We start from the raw sequence: 21,348 nt of genomic DNA, 5'->3' as shown, positions 1-21,348 counted from the left end.
AATCTCAAGTTATAAATAAATGAGACATTTCTGTACTGTGTTATACTAACATCATAAAAACAAACCACTCTTTTCCTCTTCTGAGTGTGCCTGAATTTGAACCAGGAGTAAAAATAGTTAAATAAACACAAAAGTTTGTTAAATGAAAGTGAATTTAAAATAAGAATTTAAAAATCATGAAATGCAAGTGGTCATCACACATTGTGGCTACTTAAGATCCCAAATCACATGGTGACAAAGATGGTCTTGGGCAAATGATCCTCTTCCTCTTCTTCCTCTGTTGGGTAATAGTTCACATGTGGATGACTTACTTAAAATGCTAAGGTTATGGGGGGATCACGACTATAAAAGTTATCTGGTTAAGAAAAAACAATGGTGGAAGTTTGATGATAAAATATGAGAAGTGACCGTTTGTGGGCCTGGAAAATCTCACACATACATGTCTTTTGTGAGCTCATTTGAGCATCAGTTCTCAAGATGTGCTAGAAGGAGCTCTGAACCACCCTGCTGCTGAAGTAGAAGTGAGGCTCACAGCCATCACTCAGAAGATGCTAAACAAACCTTGATGAAATAAAGATGTTACATAAGATAGTAACATCTGCATCTATTTATAGTTTATGGACACACAGAACACATGCCATGCACAAGGTACCTCTAGATTTTATGAAGAACTTTTGGGGAAAAATTAAGTACTTTTCATCAAACAGAAGGATTGAAAGTGATTTTATTGTGGCTTTACTGGAGAAATACTACGTTACTCATAAAAAATATGGTATATTACTTATTAGAACCAATACAAAAATCATAATCACCAATATTCCAACATTTTGGGCAAAAGGTATAAAATCATAGGAATAGAAAGAAGTATATTGATATCAATAAATATAAAATGCAGCAAATTTACTGATGTATACAATCCTACATCTTTTATATGATACTATAAATGCAAATAACAATCTTGCTTTTCAGAAAATGCGGGTACCTAAAAAGCCAGTCATGCTATAAAACACGTGTAAATGGATTGTTACATTAGTGCCCTGGACGAAGTAAATATATAAGTAAAAATTGAAAGAAGCAAGTAGCAAGATATGATAAATTTGAAATTAATTTATATGGAGCTGAAGTACACATGAACAAAAAATAATAACTGATAGAAAGCTTTAAACTAAATAATAAATTTGAAAGAATTCCAATATCATGTTTATGCAGGCAGCAAAACCAAGTACTTCCCTGACTGTGAGTAAACAATAAGAAATAAGGGAAAACATCATGAATTCTAATAGACACTGCGTTGAATCTGTTGTTATTGTAGCGATTCCATTGGTTGTAACTCATAGCTTATGCTAAGGCAAATTTACACCCCAGAGGTTAGTGAAATAATCCCAAATCTGCTTCTTCTTATCAGCTGCGTGACTTGGGTTTGTTATTTCTTCCCATGGGTGCCAGGCTCCGCTGTAAGGAGCAGCAACATCACTATTATCCTGTTGTCCACCCCTCTCCACCTCCTCGAACCTTGGGGGCCTGGCTTGACAACTGGAGCAAGAACCCATTGGATAGAGGGAAAACCTTTTATATTTGGGGAAGAAGCAATATATATCATAACCCAACAAGTACAGTTCATGTGTAGAACTATAATAATGGCTGATATAGGAAAGATACGTTTTGTTAATCATTTTAATTGCCTCTTTAGCAACAAGGCTCTTGAATATTCAGTGGCCAATAAGCCAAATGTTTTAGTCAAATACCTGAAGATTATACTAACACATGGCAGCTGGCTTAATGTGCTGACCAGAAGGGACGAGGACCCTGATTGGTTTTTCTATTAGGGCAGTTTTAGACCTGGGAGCTGAAAGCACTGGGGGAAGTGACTGTAAAGAGATATAACACGTGACATCGTAGAGAGAAGGGGTGGCCCATGCGGACTAGGAGCCTGTGGTCCAGGATGTGAACAACCATGTACTGAACAGTGCTTACAAGCAAAAGGACCTAACAGCAATCATTAGAAAAGCTGCCTTCATTAGATCACTAAATGTTCTGAGAGGCAGCTATGCTCAACTCCTCAGGAATTCATTTAGCTGGTGTAGCCTCAGGCCACACTTTCTTTATGAGAAGCAGGCAAATAACTGTGATTCAAATTGATAGCAGGGAATTTACAAAGCACTAATCACAAAAACACAAACACATTTCAGGAGCACAATTGTGTCTGTGAGCCTTCAGCACACAAGCTATTCAATCTGTATCTACATCTGAGTCTGTAACTATGAACTGAGCACTAGATACTTATATTCCCAAGGGCTAATTATGATCAAATGGTCCATTTAATCTACTCTGTCTCATAAGACAAGGAAATGTACACTTTAGAAAGCTTCCCATTAAAAATAAATTACAAAATTTAAAAGGTTAACTAACCTTTAGGTATCTGGGTAAACTTGGCCATCCAGAAACTCTTATTCCCAAGCACTCTGGATTGGGGAATCCTTTAAATAAAACAACATGTAGATTGATTTGGATTATACGTAAATATTGTTTCCTTTTTAAAAATTATGTACCATGTTTCATTTTTTTAACCTATCCATATACCATGAGTGTACATTTTGATGGTCAGTTGAGTTTTTGAACTTGGCATAAATTTCATCTTCTTTTTTTAATGAAACTCTTTTCCTTGTTTTAGTCTCTTTCTTCTCTTTCTCTGTCCCTTTCCTTTCAGAAGCTGTATTCACAGTGATGACAAAATGACGATCTGCTGAATGTTCTTTATTACAATCCACAATATGCTTATTGTTTCCCTGAGAAGAAAAATAAGAGAATCCCCAGTATGAGGGGAGACTGTCCCCAAAAAGGGTCTCAGCCATTTTCTGCTGCTCTCTAAACTCCAATCCTGGAATTTGAGCTTGAAGAGGTCATACACATCCTACCTTTCTTATTTTGTAGGTAAGGAAATTATGACCCCCAAATGTACCTTCCTCCAACATCACACTGCTGGCTAGCAGCAGTAAGGCGTCATATCATTTTCCCTAGCTGTTGTCCAGTGCTTGTCCCATTACGTAAACATGTTTCCCTCCACTTCCTTTCTTACTGATGATAATGTCCACTTAAGGCTATCATTTGCTTATTTTGGAAGATGGGACTAAAGTGGGTGATGGGAGGAGAGCTATATGGATATTGCTTGTCTGTTTTCTGTAATATGATGAAAGGGTGTGAACATTTCAAATAAAATAATTATACTGTTAGCAGCAGTAAATCCATATGGGTTTGCAGCAGTCTCAATTCTTGTCTCCTCAGAAGAAAGAATTCGACCGAGAGGCATAAGGCAGAGGAAAAGACCGAGGCAAGTTTTAGAGCAGGTGTGAAAGTGTATTAAAAGCTTTCAAGCAGGAAAAAAAAAGGAAAGAAAGTATACTTGTAAGAGGGCCAAGCAGTCAACTTGAAGGACAAGTGTGTGGTTTGACCTTTGACTTGTGATCAAAAGACCTCCTCTGCTGTCTTGCATTCCTTCTTCCCTAATTCTTCCCTTGGCTGTGGGCTGTTTGACGAGCAGTGACCTACTGGCAGTTGGGAGGTGAGCAAGTGCAGTGTGTTTACGGAGTTGTACACATGCTCACTTGAGGCATTCTTCCCGTACCAGTCAAATGTCAATGGAACATCATAGACCAGTTAAACTCCGTCATTTTACCTCTTAATGCACATGCTGGAGCCCACTGCCCAACTCCTGAGATCTTATCAGGAAACTGCTGATCACTAGTTTCAGGTTTTTTTCTATCATAGGAAAACTGCCTTTCCCTGGCACTGACTGTGACAAATTATTATTTTAGAGAGACAATTAACAACAGCCAGACCATCACCTGATGTCGCCTGACATTCCTGGGGCAGGGTGGGAGAGCCCTCTCCTGTCTTGCTCATGCCAGACTAGCTACTTACTATAACAATACCTCCTCGAGGAAAAAGCCCCCAAATAAATATAAGGTATTAATAAGAACCAGAGAGGGTTTGATTGATCACAGCATGAATTAATATCTAGATATGAAATGCAGAAATACATGCATTCAGAAATAATCTCCTTTCCTTCCAGAACACTCAGATTGACCAGGAACAGAATTTAAACATCTACAGTCTCTCTGTGGCTATGATTATAATTATGAACATTCCCAACAGTGTTGTAGATATGTAAGTGATATACTGAGGAATTTCTTTTTCAGAAAGTATATAAAGGCATCTATCATAGTTTTTTCTTCAGATCTGAAACAATTAGTAGACACGCACAGGTTATTTTTTTTCCCATCCCGTGAGCCAGGATGCCAGGGCATATATCTGGTCAGCCACATCTCAGGGGTTCTGCTTCAATTTTCCCAGGTTTTCTTCTGTGTCCCCCAGTGGTCCCTGGAAGCTCCCCACCTCTTGGCAAGAATACAACATTGCCAGGAAGGTGCCAGGGCGGTTGGTTAATCATTGGTCCAAAGAACTTCCTGCAGCTTGCAGGGATCTTCCCCATCGAAACCCTCCAAGGTAGGTAACAAACTCCTGCAATTGACATGCAATGCAAGTCAGGGCCAGCCAAAATTACAACCCGGCAAGAGTCACTTCTAGCATATTCTATGCCCTTTGCCCCATGGTGACTTAGTGATTTTCAGTATTCCCACTTTTATAGAGCAAGTTTTAAGGGGTCTGTGAAGTTACTTTAGCTAAATTAGATATTATAAGTAAAAATTAGTGGTTCAACTCAAAACATGTTTGTATGAAAGAAATAACTGAGCAGTAATTTGGGCATAGAAAGAAACTTAAGAACTATCTACATTCACACCAAAATCCACATAGAAAGGCCTGCCTAAATGCAAAAATACTTTTGGGCTTATGAAAAAACTGAGGTGGAAAAAAAAAAGCTTTTCTCAGGAGAAAGACAGCATTAGTTATTTTTTAAAAGGCAATTTTGCTAAGTTGAAAATCCATGAAGTCAATGAACTATCACTTTCTGAGTTCAAAAAGTGAGACTTTTACTTGCTTAATTATCCTTGCACTCAGTGCCTTTAGACTAAAAATGATGATTTTTTAACACTTAAAAAATCCACTTCTTTCTCAAAGACCTAAATCTTTGCATCTCCTCTTCATGCCGTCTATAAGTACTTAAAATTTTTTTATTTCCTTTTCCAAAAGCCTTAAAGAAAATAAAGATCTAACAATTAGGGTCTTAAGTTAAAATCTGATAATTTTTTTATTCATCAAATTTCTGCATCCCTAACTGCAGCAAATTGAGCGTCTTCAATAACTCTGAACAGCTTTTGACAATTTGAGAGAAAAGGTTGCTGATTAATCTACTGAGTCATTGACTTGGACTGGGCGACACTAGGAACTTGAGGAAGACGTGACATTGATAAGTCCGGGAGGTAACATTGATAAGGCCAGGAGGCAGGGAAATACCGGGTAGAAGAGGGCAGAGTTCCTGACGAGGGCTCCACCCTTAAACCTAGACCCGTGGCCCAAAGTGAGAACTATCCCTGTTTTCCTGGCCAAATGTTGCCTTTTGGCCCATCCCGTCCCCTATTCTGTACCCATGAGAACCCCAGACCCCAGACTCAGCAGTCATACACACAGAAGAGAGAAGTGTCTGAACATCAAGAGGAGAAGAAACAGCTGGATGTCGGAGACTGTGGTCGGAGAGGAGTTCAGCTAGGGATGGCTGGACTCCAGGGGAAGATTGTCTTCCCACTCCACCCGCTTTCCAGTTCCCCTTTCTGCTGAGAGCCACTTCCACCACTCAATAAAGTCCTCCACATTCACCACCCTTCAATTATTTCTTGTAACCTGATTCTTTCTCAATACCAGACAAGAACTAGGGTACCAAGAGGGCAGGGTATAAAAGGCTGTCCCTGCTGACCCTTCGCTGAGCTGGTTAATACTTAGCTGTCCAGACTGCACCCAGAGCAGCAATCCTGCCCACCCCCCACACGCCCTTCACTATCTAAATAAGTATCTTCCCATTTTTCAACAAATATTTGTTGATCAATTATTATATACCAGGCACTGTTTAAGCTTCCCACCTTCACAGAATGCACATTTAAATAGGGGGGAGAGAGAGAGTGTGACAATGATATCTCATTACCTCCAGAGTTCAGCGCTACAAGTAAAAAGAAAATAAGATGTTGTAAAGACAGAGTGACTCTTCACTGGGTATCAAAAGGGCTAATGAGGGAAGGCCCCTCGGGCTGTTTCAGATCCCGTGCTGGCTGCCTTTCCTCTGCTGTGCCACAGCTCAGAAGCCAGGTCTGAATTCCTGTCACAAGAAACCGAACAGCTTTTTTAAAGAATATTGTGAAATATGCAAGAATATGCGAGCGTGTACACTTAGCATGTAAACACTGGAGAACAAAAGAAAGCTGAAAAATAAATATCTATTTTAACAAAACTGTTTGGTGAAGTTTTTAAAAATCGCTCCAAAATATAAGGGTCTTGATTTTGCCCCCTTTCACCCTAAGGGCCAGGAAGGCAGCTAAAAAGTTACCAGGGGAGGTTTGTCAGATGTTCAAAATCTCCAGAATAATGCTACCATCCCCTTCTGCCCCTGAAAGACACAGAGTCCTGGGAAGAGACAAGATGGGTGTAGTTTAAGGGGAAAGGGTGTCAGAGGGACCATTAGAGACTTGGCAGGATCCAGTTACAGCCTCACCTGGAGACCACATTGTCTCCCCCTTTGGACTTCTGAAAACTCCAGAGAGCTACAGCTCCCAAAGAAGGAAAGGGTGTTTCCTTTTGTTATTGGAGTCAGATGATGAAAATGTGTTTCTAATTTGTTCCAACCATTGCTGTGTTTCCAATCCTATGTTATGCTTGATATTGATTTTTTGTAATCCTTATTTTTTTCCTTTTTGATGCTAAGCAACTGAAAAAGGGAAACATAGTATTAATCACACAAGCTTACTGAGCTGATCCCACTGTTTATGACGTCTCCTTCCTAAGTCCCTGTAAAATCTTGGCAGGGTGGCAGGAGGGAGGTTGAGGCAATGTTCAGCAACCCACGTATAGGCCCACCAAGTCACTTTCCCGTTGCAATGATCTGGATTATACAGGGCATTTCACAGACCTTCATGAGGTCCTTTGTCACATAATCCTGTCCCTCATTCAGGACAGAGTTGCTAAAAAGGAGGGATTTCTCGTTTTTAGTTTCATCATTCGTGTTAATAGATCGTATTGGCTTTTAACAGAAGAAATAAAGCAGAGTAGATTTTAAAAGTACTTCTGTCTGAACCTTTCTTATTTATACCATTTTTGGACTTTCATGGTAATTGTTTTTGTGTCTCATTTTCTTTTTTTCCTACAAACCTTAAACATTTTTACCTTAACTGAAACATCTTAAGAATACATTCAAAGTGTTTTGTTGAGCCTATGTATGTTGCTAATGCAGATTAAAATTCTGCACAAAATAATACAATTGCTTATCAGTCTGGACAATGACGTAGGTCAACAGTTTCTGCCTCTTAATGGCCACGGAAACCATTTTTCCAAAAAGAATCTCATATGGGGTACCAATACATAAAAGGATAACATTTGGATGTTCTCACTGAAACAAGGACTGAAAGGTCAAATGTCCTCTCTCTCTTCCATCTTTCCCTGGCCCCCATCCTTTCACACTCACACACCACACAGGCCTCCCCCACACATGAGAGATACACACACACCACATGCCGACCAGCATCCTGGCTTGGAGGTACACAATTTTTGAGCCACACCTCTCAAGGAGCCTCATTCCCTCTAGTGTCATAAGACCACGTTGTATCGGTGGCCACACTGGATATCCTGAATATGATTATCTTTTCAGCATGCCCACCACTAGACTTCTGCATATTCGTCTTCAAAGACCATCCAAGAAATTTAAAAGGCAATGCATTTAACTCGTGTTTATTTCTCCTTGCCCTTTTATGAAAACTGAAATAAAGATAAATTATTGTAATAAAGTTGCTTTGGAAGAAAATTAGAGATATCACCTGGTGCTGCTCTCAGGCTTAAGTTTATCTGTTAATGTGTTAAACAAATATTCACTGAACTCCTACAGGCAAGACAGTTAATTGTCTAAGCCAAACAGATTAAGGCAGCATGGTTAAATGGAAAGCATATGATCTTTCTGTGTTATCCCACAGGCCTCAGTTTCTTCATCTGTAAATTGGGGATAATGATGCCTAACTTTCAATGTGTTTGCGAAGCTCAACGGGATAAAGCATACGAAAATATCTATTCTAGCACTTGGCCCAAAGCATACTAAATTTCCCTTGGGGTGGGGTGGGTGGGGTGTTGTAACAAGTTTTCTGTGCTGGAACCACAGGGTGGAGAGTAAAGCCTGCCATCTAGTGGCCAAAGTGACAGCTGCACTTCACGTTCCTGTAGGGTTGAGTCTCAGGGGTTCCCAAATTTGGATCTGCATCAGAATCACCTGCAGAACTAGATCCCTCTCCTGGAGATTCTGATGCTAGAGGTCCAGGCCTTAGCTTGGGAATATCTAGTTTTAAGAACTCTCCCAAATGACAGTATGTCACCTGCCGATCGTAAGTTGTTTGACATCACTAACCTGAGGTTTCAGGCAGGAGAGGCTAGTAATTGAGAAAGGTTATTTTAAGCTCTTCATAACAAGGGATCTTGTGCCTGCAGGATTGCAAACACAAGAAAGCACTTTATTAAAGTGTCAATTTCCAGGCATGCAAAGCCAAGCAAACCAAGCTAAGAATGATCCCATGAAGAAAAAGCAGTAACTTTTGCTCCTTCTATATAGTATATATACTTAAGATTGAGGTAAGCCTACAAAGAAACACCACACTTACCTTCTCCTCATAATTATTCCCTGAGAGACCTGGAAAACCCATTATAGCATTTCCACACGTTTGACAAGCATTCATCCAAAAAATATTAATTTCGCACCAGGTATGTTCCAAGAGCAATGTTTGTACTTGAGAATATCAGTTGCATAAGATTGATTCAGTGCATTCTCTTACAGATCTTATGGGCTACTTAGGAGATGAGCAGGTAATAGAGCCATTGAAATAGAATCTGCAGTGTGAAGACATAGAGTGTGGAAGGTATGGAAGCACAGGGAAAGCCATCTGTATGAGTTTCCTGTTGCTACTGCAACAGATTGCTACAAATTGAGTGGCTTAAAACAACACAAATGGATTATTTTATAGTTCTGGAGTTTAGAAGTCCAAAATGGGTTTTACAAGGCTAAATCAAGGAGTGCGCAGAGCCGTGTTCCTGTGGACACTCTATGGAAGAATATGTTTTCTTGCCTTTTCCGGCTTCTGGAGCATCCACAGTCACATCGCCTCTGATTCTGACTCTCTTGACTCCCTCTTATTGGGATCCTTGTGATCACACTGCTCATCTCCATCACCTAAGATTATTTCCTCATCTCAGTATTCTTAACTTAATAGCATCTGCGACGTCCTGTGGCCACACAAGGTCATATATCCACAGGTACAGGGCATTAATGACATGGACATTTTGGGGAGCCAGTACTCTGCCTCTCACACCTTCTCATCCAGACTTGGGGAATCAGGGAGGCTTCCTACAGGAAAAAAACTTCTGAACTGAAACGTAACTGATAAAATATTATATTTCCAGAAAATGTGGGAAAAGTGAAGGAGGAGGGTCAGTCACAGTGAAAAGAAGACTTCCTAAACAGAGGAAAATGGAGATGACTCAGAGCTAAACCAAAGAAAGTGCTTTAGCTGGAAATAAACCCAAGCATTTACAGTCAATTGATTTTCAACAAAGGCACCAAGAACACACAATGGGGAGAATCTCTTCAATAAATGGAGTTGGAAAAACTGGATATCCACATGCAGAAGAATGAAAATGGGCCATCATTTCACACCATATACAAAAATCAACTCAAGATGGATTAATGGCCTGGAGGCGGTGGCTCATGCCTGTAATCTCAGCACTTTGGGACGCCAAGGCAGGTGGATCACGAGGTCAGGAGATCGAGACCAGCCTAGCTAACACAGTGAAACCCCATCTCTACTACAAAAAATTAGCCGGGCGTGGTGGCACATGCCTGTAATCCCAGCTACTTGGGAGATCGAGGCAGGAGAATCGCTTGAACCTGGGAGGCGGAGGTTGCAGTGAGCCAAGATCGCACCCGTGCACTCTAGCCTGGGCAACAGAGCGAGACTCTGTCTCAAAAAAAATCCACAAAAAACAAAAAACAAACCAACAAAAAAAAGGTGGATTAATGACTGGAATTTAAGACCAAGACCTGAAACTATAAAACTACAAGAAGAAAACATAAGAGGAAAACAACATGAGCTTTTTCTGGGCAATAATTTTTTGGATATGACCCCAAAAGCACAGGCAACAAAAGTGAAAATAGACAACAGGATTACCTCAAACTATAAAGCTTCCACGCAGCAAAGAAAACAAGTAATAGAGTGAAGAGATGTCCTATATATTGCCAGTCGTATGTTTGATAAGGGGTTAATATCCAAAATATACAAGAAACTCAAATACATCAACAGCAAGAAAATAAATAACTTGATTATAAAATGAGCAAGGACCTGAATAGACATTTCTCAAAAGAAGACATACAAATAGTCAACAGGTATATGAGAAAATGCTCAGCATCACTAATTATCAGAGAAATGAAAATTAAAACCACAATGAGATATCACCTCACACCTGTTAGGATGGCTATTATCAAAAAGATAAAGGATATCAACTGTTGGCGAGGATATGGAGAAAAGGGAACCTTTGCACACTGTTGATGGGAACATAAATTAGTAGAGCCATCATGGAAAACAGTATAGAGGGTCCTCAAAAAACTAAAAATAGAACTACCATATGACCTAGAATCCCACTGCTGGATATAGACCAAAAGAAAGGAAATTAGTTTATCAAAGAGCTATCTGCACTTCCATGCTTACTGCAGCACTATTCACAATAGCCAAGATACAGAATCGATTTAAATGTCTATCAATGGATGAATAGAAAAAGAGAGTGTTGTATATATACACAATGGAATACTATTTGGCCATAAAAAGAATGATATCCTGTCATTTTCAGCAACATGGACGAGCCTAGAAAACAATACGTTAAGTTAAAAAAGCCAGTTACAGAAAGATAAATATTCCATATTCTCACCCAGATGTGAGAGCTAAAAAAAAAAAAGTTGATCTCATGGAGGTAGAGAATAGAGTAACGTTTACCAAAGGCTGGGAAGGGTAATGGGGAGGAATGAAAAGAGGTTGGTTAATGGGTGCAAAAATACAGTTAGAAGAAACAAATCCTAATGTTTGATAGCACAGTAGGGAGACTATAGTTATCAACAGTTTACTGTATATTTTTAAATAGCTAGAAGAGAAGATTTGAAATGTTCTCAGCATAAAGAAATGATTCATGTTTGAAGTGATGGACATCTCAATTACCCTGATTTGATCATTATATGTTATATGTTTATACCAAAATACCACATGTGCCCCATGAATACTTACAATTATTATGTAGCAATAAAAAAGCAAGTCAGGTGGCTCATGCCTGTAATCCCAGCACTTTCAGAGGCTGAGGTGGGTGGATCACCTGAGGTCAGGAGGTCAAGACCAGCCTGGCCAACATGGTGAAACCCCACCTCTACTAAAAATATAAAAATAAGCCGGGCATGGTGGCAGGTGCCTGTAATCCCAGCTACTAGGGAGGCTGAGGCAGGAGAATTGCTTGAACCCAGGAGGCAGAGGTTGCAGTGAGCTGAGATTGTGCCACTGCACTCCAGCCTGGGCTACAGAGTGAGACTCCTCTCAAAAAAAAAAAAAAAAAAAAAATTCAAGTCACTACAACACAGTCCTATTTTTATCTTTTTCTAAAAAAAATGAAGGCTATTAGTGAAAAAAGGATCAAATTACAATAAGGTCTTTAATAATATTATACCAGTATTAATGTCTTGTTTTTAATTATTGTACTATGGTTTTACAAGATGTTCCCATTAGGGGAAGCTGGTTGAAGAATATAAAGGAACTGTACTATTTTTACAACTTTTTTGTAGGTCTAAATTAGTTCAAAATAAAACAGATCTAAAACTTTGGGGAAAAAATTAAAAATAAAAACTTCATAATAGTATAAGTGGGGGGAAGTGTATTTAGGAAGGAGATTAGAGGGAGATGAATATTAAACAAGAAAAATTATTTTTCATAAAATGAAATGTTTCCTTTGGAATAAATAATGCTTTTTTGTTTAAATAAAGTGTTTTATGGCTGTGTGGTGGGTTGGGGAGGGAGGAAATGAGAAGGCCCTAAAAAGTAACCAGAGGTCAGTTCATGGGGAACAATGTCAACAGCTGCATTACGGCCTATGGGATTTATCCTAAGGGTAGAGGGGAGCAACTAAAGAACTTTAAGTAGGAACATAATTTTACTCTGGTGTGAAGTGAAGCTTAGAAAAGGGCATGGCTGGAGGCCATTGGAGAAATCCAGATGAGAGATGACAGCTGCCTGAACTAAGGGCTCTACGGTAATGGCACAGGTTCATAGTGCAAAGCTCCTTCACCTACCAGCTGTGTGATCCTCTCCAAAGTACTTAACTTTTCTATACCGCAGCCTCCTTATCTGTAAAAGTGGGAATAATGCTAGCACTCACCGGATCTTACCCAATTGTATTGGAGGGTTGTATGAGGAAACACATTTAAAGAATTTATTACAGGGCCTGATACATAATAAAGGTCCAATAAAATTTAGCAGTTGCAATTTAATGGTAATTTCAGCAGGAAAAAGGGGAACTGTGGGATTTGAGATATGCTTAGGAGAAACAAGTAATAAAACTAGAGACAGGTTGTTAACAATAGGATGAGGTCAACCAGGAAGCCCAAGCTAGAGCTCTGGTGTTGGGGTGGGCAGCTGGCCCAGTGATGCTGCAGATGATGGTGGCTTAGAACACAGAAGAGCCTGGGTGTGGGTGTGGGTGTGTGTTGGAGGGCAGGGAATGATTGCTTCTGTTTTTGACACACTGTTGGTGAGAGTGATTCTGAGATGCCTAAGAGAAGAGACCCAAGAGACATTGGTTGGATGTGTTTAGAAAGATTTGAGCTGGAGATGTCTACTTGAGAGTCATTAATGGAATCCAAGACAGTGAAAGAAATCACCCTGGAGCACATAGAGAGTGAGGAAAGGAGGACCTAGGACAGAACCCTGGAAAACATGGATGAAGAGGCCACTTTCCCTCTCATGCCATTTATCACTTTATTGTAGTTATTTGTTTAATGTCTCTGCCACATAAATCCATTAGACTGCAAGCTCCCTGAGGGCAGTCACTGTGTCTAACTTGCTCACCATGTATCTCCAAAGAGTAACATCTAGCTGGCACACACCTCACTCAATAAATATCTCCAGTTCAATGATTAAATGATAGGCACCCTTTAAAGCCACAAAAAGAATAATAAGTATAATATATAGGTCTTTGAAAGTTTGTGCATGAAGACAATTAGTCTTGAGCAATAGCAAATGGTATTAGAGAGTTTATAATGTTGGGGTGTATAAGAAGTTGGTAAGTAAAGGCAGAAGAATTACTCTAAAATGAACCATGAGGGAAGAATTGCTAGAATCTGGTTATTGTATGATGATGATGATGATGATGATGAGGATGAGGATGAGGATGATGATGATATGCAAAAAATGAGACTTATGGAATGATACTGTCATTAAGAATAGGACAAATGGTCACCTATATCCCTGGGTGATTCAAGCACAATCTTTAGTAGAGGTCTGTTTCTGGCTCAGTAGTCCTGGGGTGATTGCAGCCCCACACAGGCATCCTAGGCCAATATCTAAGATACTCCCTTTTGTGTATTTACACATTCATTTCACAAATATTCATTGAGCATGCCAGGACACAGAAATGCGTGAGACATCATATTGCCTGTGTCTAAGAAATTAACTTATCAGTGTGATAGAAAGAAATGTAAACAAATTAACAAGCTATAATATTGGTTTTATAATCTGGATATGGGGCACTATATCAAAAGTTCTTAATCAAACTCAATAATGACCTTTATGTTGCTAAATGAAATAGTTCTATGTCCTCATCTTACTTGCCCCATCAACACCGTCTGACACAGTTGATTACTGCCTGTTTCCGTGGTATGTTCTTTCCTCGGCTCCCTAGTTTGACTCCTGGCTTATTGCCTATTCCTCTGTAGTATTCTTCCATGACTCTTCTTCACCACCATGACCTCTCAGCATTGGAGTGCCTCAGAGCTTACTGCTTGGACCTCTTCTCTATCAATACTCACACCTTGGTGATCTCATTGAATGTCTTGGCTTTAAGTATCTCTATGCTGAAGACTCTTACATTGGGTCTGAACTTTTCTCCTGACCTGCAGGCTGTGTAACCAAACATCGAACTGCCCTCCTCATGGATGTCTACTAGGCATCTCAAAGTTGACATGTCCAAAAGCCAACTCCTGAATATCTTCCCCAGCTCCTCCCACAGTCTTCTTGTCTTCATAATGGCAGCTTCATCCCTCTAGTTGCTCAGGCCAACATGCTTGGACTCATCCTCACCTCCCCTCCTTCTCTCACACTCCAGAGACAATCTATTGGCAAATCTTCAGGCCTTGTTGTCATGTGATAACCAGGAGCTCATCCCCTCACCACTTCTGAACCTGCCCATGCCATGGGCATCTGCTTGGAGAGCTGCAAGAATTCCTACCTGTTCTCCCTGCGTCTACACCTGCTCCTTACAGCCTCATCTTAACAGAGAAACCAGATGATCTTACTAAACCTTCCACTCCCTCTTCCACTCAGACCCTGCTGCTCATCTCACTCTGAGAAAAAGGCAGCGTCTTTCCAAGGCCTGATTCCCTCTTCAACCCCAGATCTTCCCCTGCTCCCTGTTCTCCTGTCACACCAGGCCCCTTGATGTTTCTCCCACACATCAGGCCTGAAGTCATTCAATGTGTTACATCTGTGTGATTTAAAGACCCATCCCTTCAAATGCCTGAAAATTTCTGAGAATATGAAAATATCCACCTTGGAAACAGCAAATGATGTCTCCTGCCTTGAAGATGCCCCTTCCCAGCAAAGCACAGAGAGTGACCTGATTTGCCTCAGCCCTTTGGTGTTGGATGGAGGGCAGAGGGAAAGTGGAGGAAATGGCTGTCCCGTGAAAGCTGCTCACACTCAGCTCCTGAAGACCTGACCTGGGCATATGCTAGATGATAAGACAGTTCTTGACCTCAGCGGCTCATGAGAGAGATGCTCCACTGAAAAACCCTGCTGGGCAGGATGCAGTGCCCAGTTAAAGCAGCAAGTAGACCCACATATCAGAAAAGAAAAATGAGAACAGAGTTAGATGAGCAGATTTATCAAACCCTGTAATTGTAGAACTTATCAGTTCCAGGGCAGCTGTTTTCCCTTTGAAAGGGTTAGAGAGGGAACATTCTGCTTCTTGGAAACACATCTAAGATGATCTAAATAAGGATTAAACATATACTCCCAGCCCCAAGTAGCCTGCCAATATGAACCCCAAAATATAAATAAAGTTTGAAGGGAATGAAAAGCCTTTTTAAAAATGCTTAAAATGTGCCAGATACTGGGAGGACTATTTTACATAAATTAGCTTATTTAATCTTCACAACAACTTTCAATTGTTCCCATTATGCCTACAGGAGATTAGGTAAATTGCCTCAGGACAGTGGTAAATGACAGGGTCAGGCCTATTGACCTCCAAAGCTTTGTGCCTCCACTACATCAGGCACTGTAGACAGGTAAAGGGGTGTGGGCACTGTCTCCCACATAGAAGAAGGCTGAGGACAATGTTGATTGCCCCGCTGAACATTTCTCTCCCAACTTGACGGACTTCTCTGTTCCTCTCTGGGCCACCCGTTCGGTAAGCGGCTGTGGATCACAGCCACTAGAGGGCAGGCATGGCATGAAAAGCCACCAGCCCTTCCCAGCTCCTTTTCTGGTCTTGCTCAGACCAGGGCAGCAGGAAGAGGCACTCCTGCGACTGCAGAACAAATGACAACAAATGGCAAAAATGATCATTTACATTTCTCAAGGCTTTCACAGTCCACAAATCCCTTCCAAGTCACATTTCATCTTTGACACAGCTTTGTCAAGGTAGTTTTTTTTTTAATCATCTTCATTTTACAGAAATATATAAAGTAATGAGATAGATATCAATGATTTCACTTTCAATATTTTTTCTAGACTGCAGAGGCTTTGCTAGAACTGTGGATTCCTCAAGGCAAATTGGTCCATGGGACAAGCAAGCCAAAGCATAGAGGGTAGGTACTTAGAGGGACTGTCCTGTTGAGCCCCTTGCATACAAGTGCTCAAGGAATAGTAATTCACTAAACTAACTGAAGAAAACAGTCTCAAGAACCTATTGTGTCCAGGTCACGACCTTCAAGATTTTACAAATAGGGCTACTTGGGATTATTATCCCATTGTAAAAGCAAGGTGGCCAGGCGAGGTGATTTACTCCTGTAATCCCAACACTGGGAGGCTGAGCTGGGTGGATCACCTGAGGTCAGGAGTTCAAGACCAGTCTGGCCAACATGGCAAAACCCCATCTCTACTAAACACACAGAAATTAGCCAGGTGTGATGGCAGACACCTGTAATCTGAACTATTAAGGAGGCCGAGACAGGAGAATCGCTTGAACCCAGGAGGCAGAGGTTGCAGTGAGCCGAGGTCACACGACTGTACTCCAGCCTGGGCGACAGAGTGAAGACTCCATCTCAAAATAATAATAATAATAATAATAATAATAATAATAATAATAATAATAAATAAAATAAAATAAAATAAAAAATAAAAGCAAGGTATCTACCCTTAAGCCACAAAGTTTTTCAGTGAAAAAAGTGGGACTTAGACTAGTTTTAGAACTCTTTTCACCACATCTCACCATTACCAATAGATCTAGAACCCAGAAGAAAATCAAAGTTCAAAGAGACACAACTTGGTCCTCAAATTCTAGGAGGCTGGCTAAGTTCCACTGGCTGTCACTGAGGTGACAAGTCATCTGTGGTTTGTCCCAGCCACTCGGTTGGACCAGAGTTAGAGAAATCCATTCACCTCACCTCATTTTCAAGATTGTAGCAGGTTACAGATAACAACGCAGCACTGGATGAACACTTTGAAGGCTTCCTGTTCAAGGAAAGGTTAAGAAAAATGAACTCCGACTAGGTGGTTAAAATGACCTACCAGACTAACTAGTAAGAATTTTTATCAAGCTATGTTGATGATAGCTGAACTAAGACAATGGCAAACAATGGTTTGAAACATCTCTGGATGAAACAGTAAAGGAGCAAAGTGTCTTAAAGAGCTTACTCCACTTAATAGTTCTTCATCAACCAGGTTCCAATCTTTTAACCCTGGCCTCTCTGAGGAGACCCATCAACCATACCTCCTAGCCATTCCTCAGCCCAACCCGCTTACTGTGCCTTGTTGAACTGTCGGTTGCTGCCTCTTCAGTTGACATTTCCTTTGGACTATCTGTTTCATTCTCAACTCTGGCTTCACCCTGGGATCGTAGCTTGTGAATGCCCTTAACGCCGTACCCTGACACTTTAGCACCAGTCCACACCCCCTGCGCTTCTAGTTCAGCCCCCAGAGCGCCATGCCGTATGGAACTCTGATCTCACTTTCAGCAAGGAAGTACCCACAGGAAGGGAGCCATTTTTACAGCATCCATTCAACATCATTCAGCAAATGATTCCGCTTCACCTAAGTGGTATTTATGATGCACATTCTGTGCAAGGGTTGTGCTTGGTACAGGTGAGGATATAAAGAAAGTGAAAATAAAAATCCATGTCTTCATGAAGTTAGTCTATTGGAAGTGGGGACAGATTAGAGAAAGTTAATCCTAATATATAATGAAACAGGTTGAACTTCATCATAAGTTTAAAATGCTACAGGTGTCCAGAGGAGGAAGAAAAAACATTCAAGTAAAAGGATCAGGAGAATCCTTGTAAAGGAGTTGACATTTAATAAGTCTTAGAAAGGATCAAAGCGTAGGAACTTTCCAGAGAGGAATAACACCCACAAGAGCATGTACGGGGAAAGCACTGAAAAGGTGTGTAGATTTGTGCAACAGTCCAATGTTGCTGAAGAGTGAGGAAATGGGATTCTGGAAAAGAGTGGGATGCTAGGGAGAAATCCATGTGGCTTCCTGAAATGCCAAGAAGGGGGTGAATGAAACTGATCTTCTCAAACAAGGGGTACAATATGTTCTGACACACCAAGTGTTGAGCAATGTTTAAGTTATAACTTTTCCACCAGGCCAGCTTGTGCTGGATGGAGCTGCCTGTTGCTGACAGATCCACTTCATGAACACTTGTCTGGAACACTTCTCATGTCCCCCATCACAATTCACTAAGCTCTTTCCCTCTGCTGCAAGACATCATAAAACTCCCACCTCTTCTTCCAAACCTTGACTCATTTCCTGGAATCGGGGTAGTAATTTCACCTTTACCATTAATAAATACATCACCTTTGCCATCTCTCAGAGTTCAACTCATGCTCTCTCCTACAACCCTCCCACCCTCCATTCCTGTCAGACACTTTTGTTTATCCTTTGTGTTAAACTGTGGTGATTAAATATTGGTTTAAATATTGATTAAATATTGGTTATGCCTATTTCCATCCCCATGATGCTGTCTGTCTTTGATGGTGGGCTCTCCTTAATGTGGCTCCCCTCCACTGGAAACAAAGGTCAGGAACAACTCCAAGGCCCAGCCTCGTAGACCATTAATTACAAAATAGGTTCTTTTTATGGTTAAAACCTAACATAGTGACAGAAATTAAAACCTCAGGTAAGGAAACTCTTTTAAGAAGTAGCTCAGGAGTGACCCAAGAGGTGGTATCCAGTGATGGATTCATTTATTCATGATTTGCTGTTATTTCCTTGACCTTTGTCAAGTGATAGCACTTTGGGCAATTTGAGAATGTGCTGAGAATTTGCCTGAGAAGGTGCTTGTTCTACAGGGACTAGACATCTCAGTGAGGCACCCACTAATGGCTTTCTCTAGGTTGATGATGCATTCAACATTCCCAGAAGAAGAATGGGGTTGCTAAAGAGACCTTCCCTTCCTATCTGTGTGTCCATTTCCATAAAATGTGTTGTGAAGTTGTCTGTAATAGCCAGGAGACCTTACTGATTGAAGCTCAACTGATTTCAAAAAATCTCCACTGACTTAAAATTCAGAAGCTTTTGGAAGGGCACCATAATAGGCTGAAGTCTGTGTCCTCCCAGAAGTTTGTATGTTTAAGTCCTGACCCCCAGTACCTCAGAATGTAACTTCATTTGGAGATAGAATCTTCAGAGACATAATTAAGGTAACATGAGGTCTTTAGGATGTCTCAGGGGAGAGCTAGTGACAGTCACATTGGGGAGACCAGGAGGAGCTACAAAGAGGAGTCTGAGGTTGTAGGGGAGTTTGTAAACAGTGGGAAGTATAGGAGCATAGAGCGTACTGGTTTGGGAGGGAGGATGATGAGGGGGAGTGGGACCAAGCATTGGAAGGATGATGATATTGGAGTGAGGAATAGGCAGGAGGCTGGGCTGCAAGGACAAAAAGAAAGCATAACCCAAAGGAAGCCCAACACAGATGGGTTTGCCTTAGCATGTTAACTGAGTGATTTTGGAATAGACTTTATAGAAAAAAATAGAGCGTGCAAATCCTGGAGTCTGGGGATTCACAAGAAGAAACCAGACAGGACATGTACTGACAGCTGAATGGTTTACACCAACCAAGGTGTGTTGGATGTGTTTGGCAGATCTGGTTCTTTCAAGTTCTTGTGGCTTGAGGACAGGCCGACTTAATATGTCTGGCTTCAAGTTCATCAGGAGATCATAAGAAAATGTCACCCAAACTGGGAATCCTGAAATCCTTCCTTCCTGTGTGTATCCAGTTAGCAGTTCTGAATACATGGCCATAGAGAGAAGGAATTATGTGCATATGTGTGCGCTAAAATAGTACTTAACGATGGTCTAATGCTTGACCTTACCTTGCTGTGTGCAAATAAAAGCAAACTATTTAAGGAGTAAATGAATGTCTGGTAAAAATAAAAGAAAACGCCATTAAACGTGTGTGCAGTTTAATCTGTATAGTTAATTACAGGTAAGAGAATGTACATAAGCCCTCATACGTACTCCTTACATTCCTTAAGTCTTTTGGTTGTTGCCATTTTCCTATACGCATAGTTTTCTCATAACCTTCTTAGCATCCAGATTTCTGAAACATGGTGAAAATCATGCAGTCAAGAGCAAAATTCTTAGAATCTCAACCCACTTCTACATTCTATGAGAGTATTTAGAATCTCTTTTTGTTTTTCTATTCTTTTAGTACCAGAGCCAATGTGTCTTTTAATTCATACTAACACCTCCTACTAATAATCAGATCAACTAGGTGGTAGAGAAACACATATGTAAAATTGAGAAAATTTGTAGGAATATAAAAGGAGGGATACTCTAATCAAAGTTGCTTACTTAGCAAAGCCTTCCCTCCTACAGATGATATAAAACGAAAACAGGTACAGATCCCACTTCTATACCTGTAATATACATAACAAAGTACCACAGATTGGGTGGTTTAAACAACAAAAATTTGTCTTCTCACAGTTCTGGAAGCTAAAATCCAAGATCAATGTGTTGGCAGGATTGCTTCTTTCTGAGACCTTTCCTTGGCTTATAGATGGCCGTCTTCTGCCTGTGTCTTCTCACGGTCTTCCTACTGTGTGTGCCTGGGTCCAAATTCTCTCTTCTTATAAGGCCTCCAGAAATGGTAGCTATTAATATTCCATCATTATAATTATCATTGTGATTCCCCAGGTCAGGAGGTGAGGGTTATTGTCCTGCCCCCCTTCCAAATCTCTTCTAGACCATTACTCCCCCACCTTGTGGTGACGGCCCCCACCTTTGTGGAGCATCTGCTGCCTGGCACATGGTCCCAGGCTTCAACCTGGAACTGTCAGCAAGGACCCCAGCTCACCCATACTCCATTTTGGCCCTATCCACAGCCCTGCCTCTGTTCATTTCCCTCCCTTCCTCTGCAATTTAGATTTCATGGTGCAGCATCACCATCCCACTCTTGCCCAAACCCTAAACTCTCTTATCCATCTTCCTTTTTTTTTTTTTAACCTACCCAGGCAGATTGCATCCTTGAATGATACCAGGTCTGTCTTCTCTGTGCCAACCCTTGAGTAAGGAAGACCTGGACTCAATTTGCTCACACTTAACAGAGGATTTTTCCATCCTTTTATAAGACAGATTATTCTGAAGTTTCTTTCTGTGCTATTATACAAATCATAAGTATACACAGAGGTTCTGAGTTGATCCAAACTAATTATAGCAGACGCTACTTACAGAAGACATCGACCTGGC

At 40.8% G+C, this 21,348-nt stretch overlaps 1 long non-coding RNA gene across 2 annotated transcripts in view, besides 1 other annotated feature; it reads right to left on the bottom strand.

The window, feature by feature from the left end:
• The window catches only part of LOC105370150 (uncharacterized), a 50,628-nt gene extending 30,421 nt beyond the window's left edge, over positions 1-20,207 (bottom strand). The window contains exons 1-2 of one of the 2 annotated variants that reach the window (XR_941830.1): positions 20,126-20,207; positions 2,410-2,477 (exon numbers count right to left, since the gene is read on the bottom strand). This is a non-coding gene — a long non-coding RNA (uncharacterized LOC105370150). Of the gene's footprint in view, positions 1-2,409; positions 2,478-2,580; positions 2,661-20,125 lie in introns of those variants that run through there. The other variant, XR_941829.1, reaches the window with a different exon arrangement.
• Positions 15,867-15,986: a silencer, noted in NCBI's record as "silent region_5242". NCBI's record gives its function as "represses an Ori minimal core promoter by ATAC-STARR-seq in GM12878 lymphoblastoid cells {active_cell/tissue: GM12878}" and the evidence as "EXISTENCE:reporter gene assay evidence [ECO:0000049][PMID:35858748]".
• Positions 20,208-21,348: the final 1,141 nt, after the last annotated feature.

The sequence above is a fragment of the Homo sapiens genome, chromosome 13, assembly GCF_000001405.40.
Source record: "Homo sapiens chromosome 13, GRCh38.p14 Primary Assembly".
NCBI lineage: Eukaryota > Metazoa > Chordata > Mammalia > Primates > Hominidae > Homo > Homo sapiens.
The sequence above is the reverse complement of the archived record's forward strand: the minus strand, read 5'-3'. Positions and strand labels throughout refer to the sequence as shown.